General features: G+C 35.4%; 1 protein-coding gene across 43 annotated transcripts in view; it reads right to left on the bottom strand.

Moving 5' to 3' along the window:
- CHD9 (chromodomain helicase DNA binding protein 9) overlaps nt 1–13,418 on the bottom strand; it is a 272,507-nt gene that overhangs the window by 49,778 nt on the left and 209,311 nt on the right. For all 43 annotated transcript variants that reach the window (XR_007064921.1, XM_047434707.1, XM_047434693.1 and 40 more), the window contains 4 exons: nt 10,230–10,426; nt 9,594–9,793; nt 3,935–4,094; nt 3,418–3,507 (listed from right to left, as the gene is read on the bottom strand). Coding sequence is in view for 42 of the 43 variants with exons in the window: in XM_047434707.1 (XP_047290663.1) it covers nt 3,418–3,507; nt 3,935–4,094; nt 9,594–9,793; nt 10,230–10,426 (647 nt within the window). In the remaining variant the exon portion in view is untranslated. The remainder of the gene's footprint in view (nt 1–3,417; nt 3,508–3,934; nt 4,095–9,593; nt 9,794–10,229; nt 10,427–13,418) is intronic.

Raw genomic sequence — 13,418 nt, 5'->3', positions numbered from 1 at the left:
GAGTGGGCATCCTTTTCTAGTTCCAGTTTTCAGAGGGAATATTTTCAACTTTTCTCCAATCCAGTATTATGTTGGCTGTGTGGTTGTTATAGATAGGTTGTTATAGATTGCTTTTATTACATTCAGGTATGTCCCTTGTATGCTGATTTTGCTGAGAGTTTTAATCATAAAGTGATGCTGGATTTCGTCAAATGCTTTGTGTTTACTGAAATGATCATGTGATTTTTGTTTTTAATTCTGTTTATGTGGTTTATCACATTTGTTGACTTGCATATGTTAAACCATCCCTGGTATGTAACCCACTTGATCATGGTGGATTATCTTTTTGATACGTTGCTGGATTCAGTTAGCTAGTATTCTGTTAAGGATTTTTGCATGTATGTTCATTAAGGATACTGGTCTGTAGTTTTCTTTTTCAGTTATGTCCTTTCCTGGTTTTGGTATCAGGGTGATACTGGCTTCATAATATGATTTAGGGAGGATTCTCTCTTTCTCTATCTTGTGGAATAGTGTCAAAAGGATTGGTACCAATTCTTCTTTGAATGTCTGGTAGAATTCAGCTGTTAATCCATCTGGTCCTAGACTTTTTTTGTTGTTGGTAATTTTTTTATTACCATTTCAATCTCACTGCTGTTCTTTGTCTGTTTAGGGTATCTAATTCTTCCTGATTTAAGCTAGGATGGTTGTATCTTTCCAGAAATTCATGCATCTCCTCTAGGTTTTCTAGTTTATGTACATAAAGGTATTCATAGTAGCCTGGAATGATCTTTTGTATTTCCGTGGTGTCAGTTGTAATATCTCCTGTTTTATTTCTACTTGAGCTGATTTGGATTTTCTCTCTTCTTTTCTTGGTTAATCTTGCTAATAAATACAGGCAACTTTTTAAAGGAGTTTGTGGTGAAGAGGATTAGAGAAATGGAGTCTGAGAATGTATACTGAGAGAGGTTTTTTCCTTTGTTAAGTGACTGATATTAAGGCATACATGTATGCCAGAAGAATGATGTAGTAAAGAGAGAGAGAAAAAAAGATCCAAGAAAGGTAAAGTCCCAGAAAGGTAAGAGTAAAGTCCTTAAAAGGTAAGAAGAAACGAGTTCCATGCTGCACAAGGTTTGCCTTAGGAGGAGGGACATTTCTACTGTATCTTGAAGGAATAGGTGGACATATATGCAAGTAAAACTGAAGGTAGCTCTTATCTGACTGTGTCTACTTTTGTCCATGAAATATGTAGCAAGGTCATTATTGGAGGGTGGTAGTTGGAGGGTGGAAAGATGGTTTGAGGAGAGAGGTACAAAATGGTTCTCTTAAAGAGTAGGAATATGAATTGACTAGCCACAACAGTTAAACAGTAGATGTTTAATCTCTTTTGAGATGAGATCTATGCTCACAAATTTGAAGTTAGTCATTCAGCATGGCTTGCTTGATTTTCTCCACAAATGTTCAGCTACTTAGGTGCAGGGAAGAAGTAAATGGCTAGCTGAGATTAACCTGAGTTGAGGTTGTAATAGATATCTAGAACAGAAGGAAAGACAGGCAAAAGGAGATAGATAAGGATTTTAGTTAGCAAGTAGAGTGCTAGACTATAGAATCTATGTTGAATAATGAGGAAAGAGGGGGCATGAAAGTGGTGATGGCTAGTGAGTAAGTGTTAAGATGTGGGGACATCGTGATGAGATTGGAGAATTATAATGAGAAGTACCCAAGTTAAGTGAGTTAGAAGGAAGGATGTCACTGTCAAAATTCTGATTAAATAAGTGCTGTTAGTGGTGATAGCAAGATCAACTGTATGACCAGGTGATTATGCGGCTGTAGTGGGGAGAAAAAGAGGTAACTATATAAAGGCCAAGGAAATGAGAGACCAGGGTGTTGAATGGATCATAGGTGGATATAGAAGTCAGTCACCATAAACCTTCTTTAATTGTAATAAGAGGGAAGAAGAAAAGACTGAGTACAGAAAAATTAAATTTTAGATTTGGTGGCAGGAAGCTGAAGGAATTTGTTTTATGGCTTGCTTACATTTCTCTACAAAGGTGGGGGAATATCATTTGCTGAGAATGGGGGGTTGAGTAGTAGGTTTCTGCATAACTCAGATAATTAGAGAATGGAGAAGAAAACTGGGAAAGGTGACTTGTAGTATTAAGAGGCAAGATGAAACTAGAAATAGAAAATTCTAGTAGCACTCCCTGGTATCCTATACATACACAAAAGTATTTATTACATTGCGGTATAGTTTTTTCTATTTCCTCCTTACTGAGACCATAAACTCCTTAGGGATCAAGACTGTGTTTTGTCTTTGTATTCCTAGTGCTTCACAGTGCCTGGTGCTTAATGAGTACTCAAAAAGTACTTCTGTAGGAATGAATGAATTGGTCATTAAATCAGTGTCTGTGTCTGGGGCTGGGTGTGGTGGCTCACACCTGTAATCCCAGCACTTTGGGAGGCTGAGGCAGGCAGATCACCTGAGGTTAGGAGTTCAAGACCAGCTTCGCCAACATGGTGAAACCTCGTCTCTACTAAAAATACAAAAATTAGGCAGGTGTGATGGCACCTGTAATCCCAGCTACTCAGGGAGCTGAGGCACAAGAATCACTTGCACCTGGGAGATGGAGGTTGCAGTGAGCCAGTATCATGCCACTGCACTCCAGACTGGGTGAAAGAGTGAGATTCTGTCTCAAAATAAATAAATAAACAAACAAATAAATAAAAAATCTGTGTCTGCTTTAATGGCATCTAGTTTCCATTAGATACCATTCTTAATATTACTACTACTATTGTTACGTTGTGACTTCTAGTGATGGCCAAGATGAGAGCAATAAAAGAGAAGTAACAAATTGGCAAGGGTTAATTCCTTAAGTTTCATGGATTTTCTACCTTATAAGTTTCACAGACTAAGGAGCCGCCTAACATACAATATTCTGGTCATATAATTTTTGCCTCATCATGTTATTGAAAAATAAAAATAGGCTGGGCGTGGTGGCTCATGCCTGTAATCCCAGCACTTTGTGGGGGGGCCAAGGCGGATGGATCACCTGAGGTCAGGAGTTCGAAACCAGCCTGGCCAAGATGGTGAAACCCCGTCTCTACTAAAAATACAAAAAAATTAGCCGGGCGTGGTGACGCATGCCTGTAATCCCAGCTACTCGGGAGGCTGAGGCAGGAGAATTGCTTAAACCCAGGAGGCGGAGGTTGCAGTGAGCTGAGATTGTGCCACTGCACTCCACCCTGGGCAACAAGAGTGAAACTGTCTCAAAAAAAAATGAATAAATAAAATAAATATATCATTTAAGCCAGGTGTGGTGGTGTGCCTACAGTGCGAGCCTCTCAGGAGGCAGAGGTGGGAGGATCGCTTGAACCCAGGAGCTTGAAGCTGCCTGGGCAAGACAACAAACAAACAAAAATAATAAAAATTGTTTAACTTACCTTGCATCAACTCCATCAAATACTTTCTGACACTCATTTCCAATAACTTCTTGCTTTAGATAATACAGCATTCTCACACGAAGCAAAACCCTAAAAACAAGGGAAAATAAATCAAAGGCATAAAGACATTCATCGTTTAAAATATTCGGACATGGGGTTAAAATTAGGAAGGAATTTGTGTACAGATTTTAAAATAATGAAATATTACTTCTGATTAAATGAATCTTATTACTACCATATATATAAAGAACTTCTCCAAAATCTTCATAATCATCATTATTTCATATACAAGTAAGATATAATGAGCTCATTTGGAGGCCAGTTTTACTTATCTGTTGGTGAGAACAATGACACAAGAGGTATCATGATTTGCTTGTAGGATACCTTGTAAAATTAGGATTAGGATTGGCCCTAGACCATGCTGTCTCTGTACTCAAAATCAGCAAGCTTAAAGAGTATTAATAAATTCAGAACAGTAAACATTTAAAGAGTTGTGTTTAAAATACCCTATACCTACTTATTACAGTGGTGTTTTATATGTTTTTTGTAGCCTTCATCTTGAAGGAGCTGCTCGGGATTATATTTTCGAAGCCATTCTGCTTTTTGTATATCAAATGAGCTTGTTTGAGTTTTTACTTTCTTCCCTTTTCGACCCCTGGGTACAGGAGCTGATAGGCCTGTTAAAATAAGGACATATAAATTAGGAATAATTTGTATAAAAATTTGCAATCTGAAAGATTGTTTCAATGCAAGAAATTTCTGGAGACTTTCTGAGGTCTGTTCAGAGATCTTTAAAATATTAGTAACAATACTGACCCAACCACAAATCAAGATGATGGTTTTATACATATTAAAACATATTTCCCCCAAATAGCTAACAATTCTACATCTCATATTAATCATTCTGATTTCCTTTTTGTTCCAAAACAGATTATTTTTTTACAAATATAAAACCCAAAAGATCAAACTTATGCCCTCTGCTTTACTTTTGCTTTCCTAGATACTAAAAGATATGTTTTGACCTCTACTCTTGCTTTTCAAAATTGATTTAGATAGATTAGGTTAGCCATCCTCTTCAAGATAGCTAAACTCATTTTAGTTCTTTGAGTTATTTGTTGTGAAATATTTAAAAACTACAAAAACGTACTGCCACTCTTCATGTTCACATAGTCCATGTTTACTTAGTTTTTTTTTGTTGTTTTGTTTTGTTTTTTTTGAGACAGAGTCACTCTGTTGCTCAGGCTGGAGTGCAGTGGCGTGATGTCGGCTCACTGCAACCTCTGCCTTCTGGGTTCAAGTGATTCTCCTCCCTCAGCCTCCTGAGTAGCTGGGATTACAGGCATGCGCCACCACGCCTGGCTAACTTTAGTAATTTTAGTAGAGATAGGGTTTCACCATGTTGGCCAGTCTGGTCACAAACACTTAGTTTTTTATTAAAGGAAATAATACATAGTTGAAGTCCCTATGTAGTCCTCTCCTATCAAATTCACTCATTCCTTCCCAGAGATTACCACTACCCTGAATTTGTTTTTCCATTCCATGCATGTTTGAACTATTATTACCTATGTTGGATAAGTATTTAGTATTTAAGTTTTCAGATATTATATTATAAATGTAAGCCTGCACCTTATTTATTACTCTGAACTTTTAAAAAATTTATCCTGGTTGACTCATGAGGCTCTAATTCATCTATTTTTGTTTCTGTATAATAATTTATTACATAACTATACCACCTCCTATTTATTAATCTTCCATGAATTTGAGCTGTTTTGCTTGTAATTTTTCACAATTATTAATAATGCAGTTTTGACTCCTCTTGCAATTCTTGTACCTCATTTACCTTTTCCTTGCCATTTTATAACAGGTGGGTACTCCACTACAATGGTACATTGAAGCACTGTATGGGTTTGTCCATTTTTCCTTATAATTTTGGCAGAGGTTTTTTTTTTCTTTTGCCTTTACATTTTGAGACTATTTTAGATGTATGTAAGTTCATACTTGTTATAGTTTCTTCTATGGATTATTCTTTTTAATTATTAGGTAGTGTCCCTTTTTTTTTATTCCAATTGATACCTTCCATCTTAAATTCACTTTGTTCTATGTTAATGGTACTACAACATTTTGTACGGTTTAGTAGTCGCATGGTGTAGTTTTACTAAATAAACTTTTAAGCTTGTTTGGTGTTTAATAATATCTCTTTAAAGTATAAAATGTTTATTTTTCCCCCCATCTAACAATTTTCCTCTTTTAACAGGTGAAAATATACATAGGCTGCATACATATGTTTATATATTTAGTTTTACAATTTTATTGTTTATCATACCTTCCTTCTTTCTTTGTTTTGCTGGAATGATAAATAGTTCTGTATTCCAATCTTCTCCACCCTTGTTGGTTCGAAATAGTACATACTTAAAAATACACATGCTTAAATTTTCCTAATGAAATCTACAGATATTCTGTATTTCCAATTTTCTTCCTAACAAGATTTTCCCAGATTCATCATTCAATCTTCTTTTTACTTTTTCATTTCATTATATATTGTTATAATTTATAGGCTTCTGCTTTCACTGTTTTTACAGCACCTTATTCTTTCGAAGTCATGGTATATTTGAAGTATCTTTGAAGATATTAATGATAGTTAAAGAAAAGGTGTCCTCCTTTTTGAAATCCTTGTTTCCTTCAAGTTCATTTTAATGTTTTTTTTTCTTTTTCTTTTTCTTTTTTTTTTTCTTCTGAGACAGAGTCTCGCTCTGTCAGCCAGGCTGGAGTGCAGTAGCGTGATCTCGGCTCACTGCAACCTCCGCCTCCCAGGTTCAAGTGATTCTCATGCCTCAGCATCCCAAGTAGCTGGGATTACAGGCACATGTCACCATGGCTGGCTAATTTTTGTATTTTTAGTAGAGACGGGGTTTCACCATGTTGGCCAGGCTGGTCTTGAACTCTTGACCTCAAGTGATCTGGCCACCTCAGCTTCCCAAAGTGTTGGGATTACAGGGGTGAGCCACCGTGCCCAGCCAATGGTTTTTTGTCTCTCTCTTTCATGTTAGAGACTTTCCTGAGATGCCTGATAATCCTTGGCTGTTTTTGCTCTTATTTAAGTGTGACAAATAAAAAAGGTGATAGGGAGACTGAAGGGATGGAGCATAGTGATTGTGGGCTCACTGAAGGGTAACTGGCTGGGTTTTTTTTTTTTCTCCTGTCATTATCTTTAGGTTTGGGGCAAGCCCTTTAGTTTTATTCCTTGAGTAATAGAACAACCAGAATGCACACAGTTATTTAATCCCTATTTAGTAGCTCTACAACTCAACTACCAGTGCAATCCAGACTTCTATTTTACTCTTTCCAGAGAAAAAATTTTGAGTCAGTTTTCATCCTGGCTACATGGAACTGAAGAGGGTATTTAGGGCCTTTTTTTAAACCGCTTTGAATGAAAGCTTCTATCCTTATACACCCACTTCCAGAGGTTCCTGATGTCACAAATTCCTAAGACATTTGGGAAATCTGTAAAGCAAAGCAGTTTGCCTTTCCCACTGCTGACCTAAGATTCAGCCCTCTCAGGTTGGTTAAATCAGTTACCACTAATATATTTGCCTCCAGCTTCCAAAATCTTGTTGCCGTTTCCTCTCCCATTTTTGAGAGTTTATGCTTATTTTAAAATTATAGAATACAAGTATATACAACAGTCCCATTATCCACATTCAATAATTATCAACTCATGGCCAATTTTGTTCACCCCCAATCTTTCACATTATTTTGAAGTAAATGTAATAAATCAATCATTTCATTCATAAATATCAACGGTATCTTTTAGCAATATCTAAAAGATATTTAGTGGTATCTAAATTTAATTTAACAGAGGTATCTATTTAGTGATAAAGCCTCCATTAAAATAGCTACAACACTATTATCAGCCCTAAGATGCAATAATAGCTTCTTAATATTTGGTATTCAACATTCTAATTAGTTAATAAAGATAATAAAACATTTCCTCTGGGTTATTTGTTTCAATCAGGATCTAAATAAAGCCCCCACAGCACTTTGGGAGGCTGAGGCAGGAGGATCACTTGAGCTCAGGAATTTTGAGACATGCCTGGGCAACAAAGTGAGACTCCACCTCTAAAAAAAAAAAAAAAAAAAAAAATTAGCCAGGTGTGATGGTACACGCCTGTACTCCCAGCTATAGGGGAGGAGGATCACTTGAGCCCAGGAGTTTGAGGCTGCAGTGAGCCGTGTTCACGTCACAACACTCTAGCTTGGGCAACAGAACGAGACCCTGTCACAAAACATAAAAATAAAAATAAAGTCCCCAGACCCCACACTGCAACTGGCTGATAACTTTTCAATCTCTTTTAGGTTATAGCAGGGTTTCAATCTTGGCACTACAATATTTTGAGCAGGATATTTCTTCATTGTGGGGGGCGGGAGACTATCTGTGAACTCCTGGCCTCTACCCACTAGATGCCAGTAACACGCTGAAGGTTGTGATAGTCTGTGGTAGGGGTGGGATTGGGGCAGAAAGTCATCTTTGGCTGTGAATAGATACCTCTCTATTCACTCCTAATCCGATAATTTATTTGTTGAGGAATCCAAGTCTTTTGTTCTGTAGAATTTGTTAAGCTTAGTGCCTTACTTTTTTCTAGTGGAGTTTCAAGAAAGAGTGAAATTACATTTGTGTGATTCTTCCATCTACCTAGAAGTCAGGTCTTCACATTAATTAAACTCACTGTCTCCTATTAAAATAGGCCTACACTGACCACCCTATCTAAAATGGGTGCTTTCTGTTGTTTTCCATCTCAATAGTTTATTTACTTCACAGTAATTACCACAATCTATAACTAATGTACATTCTTACTATGTCTGTCTACCTGGTTAGAATGTAAGGTTCATGAGCTCAGGGATCTTGTCTATCTTGTTTCTTCTTATCTTTTCAACACCTTGCACAAGACACACACCAGCCATTCAACAGATATTTTTTGATTAAGTAGAATAAAATTGTAACAAATTTAAGGGCATAGTAATTCTTTTTATTTTTTACTGGAAATTCAATTATTTTATGCTATAAAATAATTATTTCATGCAAAAAAGAATGTTCTGTTAGGAAGGCTAAGGAGCAAAAAGTACTAGCGTATACCTCTGAGAGGATTGTAAATTGGCATAACCATTTTGGACAGCAAATTAAAGTATAATGAAAATTTAGGCCAGGCATGGTGGCTCATGTCTGTGATCCCAGCACTTCGGGTGGCTGAGGGGGAAGGATTGCTTGAGCTCAGGAGTTCAAGACCAGCCTGGGCAACATGGTAGGACCCTGACTCTGCAATATAAAAAAATTTTTAAAAGCCGGGTGTGGTGCTACATGCTTGTGGTCCCAGCTACTCAGGAGGTTGAGGCAGAAGGATGGCTTAAGCCCAGGAGGTTGAGGCTGCATTGAGCCATGTTTGCATCACTGTACTCTAGCCTGGGGGACAGAGCAAAATCCTGTCTCAAATAATAAACAAAAATTAAAAAGTATTATGAAAATTTAAAATTGCATATCAATGTTTCTCAAACTTTAATATGTACACTAATTCCTATGGATCTTGTTAAAATGCAGATTCTTATTCAGTAAATCTGAGGCCTAAGATTCTGCATTTCTAAGAAGCTTCCAGAAGATGCTGATGCTGCTGACCCAGAGACCACATTTTAGGTTCTAAAGATGTATATAAGCTATACTTTAATAATTCCATTCTTGATATCTACTTTAGTGAAAGATTTATTTATATGCACAAGGAGGAGGGTACATGGATCTTCTCTGAAACTTGTTTTTTAATTGTCTAAAATTGAAACTACCTAAACACCCATCATCAAAGGAGATACTAAATAAATTATGGAATATCCATACTACGGAATACTAAGCAGAACTTAAAAAATGAGATAGATCTATCTGAGCATAGACGGAAAGACCTCTAAGACATTTAGTTGGGTCATCAATTCCAAACAGATACGTATTTGATAACAAAATGTAAAATCCACCAAACTGATAACACTGGCATTTTCTGAAGCTGGAACTTGAATTGGGAGTGAAGGTTAAGGTTCCTTAATATTATTTGTAATGCTTTTATATTTTATAGGAGAATATGTTAAGTATTACTTATATAACTAAAAATAAATTTTAAAAGCAAATGAAACAATGTTCTTACCTAGATGATTCTGTAGCTCTCGTGTCTGTCCATCTTCAGTTGGAGTAATGAGATCCCATATGAAACCTTTAATCTTCTCATCTCCTCGGTAGTGAACAAGGCAATATGCTAAGAGAGCTCGGCAAATTATCTCTACATCGTGTTCATTTAGCTGCCTTTTGAAACGGCCATGAGATAGAATCTCTCTCCATCGGCCCCACCTGGTTAAAAAAGGTATAGTTACATTGATATTGAGTCAAGTTCTAGAGAAAAATATTAACTCATAGATAAAAGGAATGAAAAACTTTAAAAAATTGTCATTTTTGCTAATTAAGTCTTCCCTACCCATGCATAGAATGTAGAGGAATGGTATAGTAATTTCTAGTATATTTTATTCAGTAATGGATAACATCTAATTTGTATTACTGAATATGCGAATTTAAGGACAAGAAGTTTGACTTTAGTGATACTTTGAAAATTTAAATACTTGAGGATAATCTCATCATTCTGCTCTTAAATATATGCTAAAAATAGAGTACTTTAAAAGTAAATTTTAATGATTCTAAGAAGATAAAAAATATACTCAAAACCAGTATATATTTTCTGTAACATTACATACCAGACTACTTAGAGCAAACATTAAAAACAATGTTTTACCCATAAACTAGCAGGTTTTTCTCAACTCTAAAGCATTCAGTTCTTCCATAGCCATTGGAACGGTCACAGGGTCTCCGGAGTTTGGGCTTTTCATCTCCTTCACTTTCAGCTTCAGATAATTCAGCCAATTCATCTTTTGTGGCACTAAAAGGTCTTGTTTGCTTCCTAATTCTTGGAGTGTCAATAACCAAGCTGTTCTGTAAAACAGAACTGCTATTACCTGAAGGTACTTTTATGATTTTGCTTACAACAGTGTTCTACATTTTTACCTTATACAAACAATAATTACAGAAACACAGACAAAAAGAAACAACTAACAATTTCACCAACCTATTCAGTCAACTTAGAATTGCTTATATTCCTTTAGAATTCTTACTACCACACATGTAAAATTTTATGACATTATAGTCATAGGATAAAAAGAACTTGATATTTTGTATATTAATATAACATTATTGTAATCATAAAAATATTTTAAACTGAATTTATGCCTTATAATTTTTCTTTACCTAATTCATAATTTAGATTGTTCTTAATTTTTAAAATAAATAATGCTAAAGTAAATCTTTGTGGCTTAAGTTTATTCTAAAGGTAAATTCAAAAGAAGGGAAGTATCCAGAAATGGAAATACTGGTCAAAGGTTATGAATATTTTACAGCGCTTTCCAAAAGACTTAATACAAAGAAAGCAAGGCAGTTAATTGCATCAACCTCAGTATGTTCGATTCAGTTTAATTCATTCAAAACAATTTATGTTAACATACTTTTTATTTTTATTGAGAAACTTCTCTAAGCTAGGCACTATGTTATGGGCTGTGGTATAATGATGAATAAGGCTGTTTCTACTCATAAGGAATCCAAAGTTTTAGTTACACGGACAAATGTGTCACTAAACAAATGCTATTTGGGATGAAATTTTTTATGATATAAGAGGTATCACAGTCAGAGAAAATGTCACAAAGTAGTGATACTAGAAAGACTTCTTAAAGTATTAGAAGTAGTTTGCCAGGCAGTGAGGGAAGAGATAGCATTACAAGTAGAGGAAAGAGCAAGGGACCTGAAGTGGTATCAGATTTTCAGGAAATGCTTATGTCCTAGAGCAGGAGAGGACAAATGGTAGGAGAGAAGGCAGGGACCAGACCATAAAGGTCCTGGTATGCCATAATATGTATGGAATGCATTATATTTAAGGGGCATGTGATGTCCTATGACAGGTGATGTTAACTTTTGCCAAGTTTCTCCACTGTGAAGTTACTAGTTTTCCTTTTGGAATTAATATGTATTTTGGAAGATATACTTTGAAGACACATAAATATGTTGTGTCTCCTTAAACTTTTACCCACTAATTTTAGAATTCACTGATGGATCTTGTATGCTACAATTATTACTGCAGTTGATTCATGGTGATTTTTTATTTCCTTCATTCCTTCTACATTTATTAAATGGAATTCTTCCGTAAGAAAGAGTTGTCCCTTTTCCTCTTTTTCCCCTTCCCAGTTTCCTTAAAAAAAAAAACAAAAAACTAATTGTATTTTTTTCTTAATTTTCAAATGTCTTTTTCCCCAAATCTTTTGAGATTTGATACAATTTTGATCTACTTATATTAGCTTTTATGTAATAGAAACATTAACTTTCATACACATGTCTGCTACAAATAGTGTCACCAGTCTGACTGCACTTTCATTTTTCCATTACATAATTCTGTCTTGTATAGTTAAATATGCCAATCACTTCCTTTGTAATTTCTAATTTAGAATGTTTTCCCACCCAAATATTTGTGAAAAGAAATCTAATTTCTATTTTTCATGTTTTGATTAAAAAACACTTAAAAATCTTTTATCACAAATTAGAGTTTACTTGGTATAGAGCATAGGATTATAACGCTCTTCCCAAATGCTAATCCAATATCCTAATCACCATTTATTAAATCATCTTTCTTTAGCACTATTTGTATATTTCATAAACTTATACTTTGATCTTTTTCTGTTGTTATCCCATTCTTTGCTTGGTATCTTTCTGTCAGTACCATACTTTTTAAACTATTATTTTATATTAATGTATTTTATTTTTTTAAACTAATTTAATTTTTTAAAGAAAGGTTCTTGATGTCACTCAGGCTGGAGTGCAATGGCACAATCACAGCTCACTGCAACCTCGAACTCTTGGGGTCAAGCCATCCTCACACCTTCAGGCTCCTTCGTAACTAGGATTACAGGCACGCACAATCACGCCTAGCTAATTTTAAATTTTTTTGTAGAGAACAGGGTCTTGCTATGTTGCCTAGGCTGGTATCAAACTCCTAGCTTCAACCAATCCTCCTGCCTCAGCCTCCTGAAGTGCTGGAATTATACAGGAATGAGCCACTGTGCCCAGCTGTATTAATATATTTAGACACTTTAACATACAGTAATGTTAGTCTTTATTGTACATTTTCAGAAAAGTCCTTAATTTTTTACAAAAGTATAAACTTTAAAATGTTACTGCAAAAGTATTAAATGACTATATGCTTATATAAGTTTATTTACAAAATCCTTAACGCCTTAAAATAATCTACAAAGCCCTGTTGATTTGGCCCATGTCTTCAGTCTCTGACCTCATCTATTACCACCACACTCACTAACTCTTCACATTCTGCCATAATGTATTTCTGCTTCTAGAATACACTAAGCTTATTTCTACCAGTGTCTCATTGCCATTCCCTCTGCCTCAAAGCTTTTCCTGACATTACAGTGTATTGGCTCTTTCTCTTCATTCAAGTCTCCGTGCAGATAATCCTTTCGCAGTGACCTCCCTTGATCACTTCACCTAGTCTAATTCTACTTCTCCAGCATTCTCTGCCATCTTACTGCTTTATTTTCCTCACTCTCTAAATTATCTTATATATTTGTTTACCACTTTCTTACCCACCAGGATGTAATTACCAATATATACTGCTGAAAAATCATAAATAGAGATCACATTGTAAGCATCATTCTGCATCTCTCTCTTTCTCTGTCTTGGAGCTCTGTTAGTCCACAGTACATGGTACATAAGAATGTCCATTCTTATTATTTTTTATTTTTAATTATTGCATTAGACAGTATGAATGTACCATTGCTCCCATATAGAAAATTTAGTTTCTAAATTTTTGCTATAACAAAAAATGCTGCAATGAGTATCACTGTACTATATTATCATTGTACATGTATGC

Source organism: Homo sapiens, chromosome 16 (genome assembly GCF_000001405.40).
Source record: "Homo sapiens chromosome 16, GRCh38.p14 Primary Assembly".
NCBI classification, from domain to species: Eukaryota; Metazoa; Chordata; class Mammalia; order Primates; family Hominidae; genus Homo; species Homo sapiens.
Note: the sequence above shows the minus strand (reverse complement) of the source record. Positions and strands in the feature narration are given on the sequence as shown.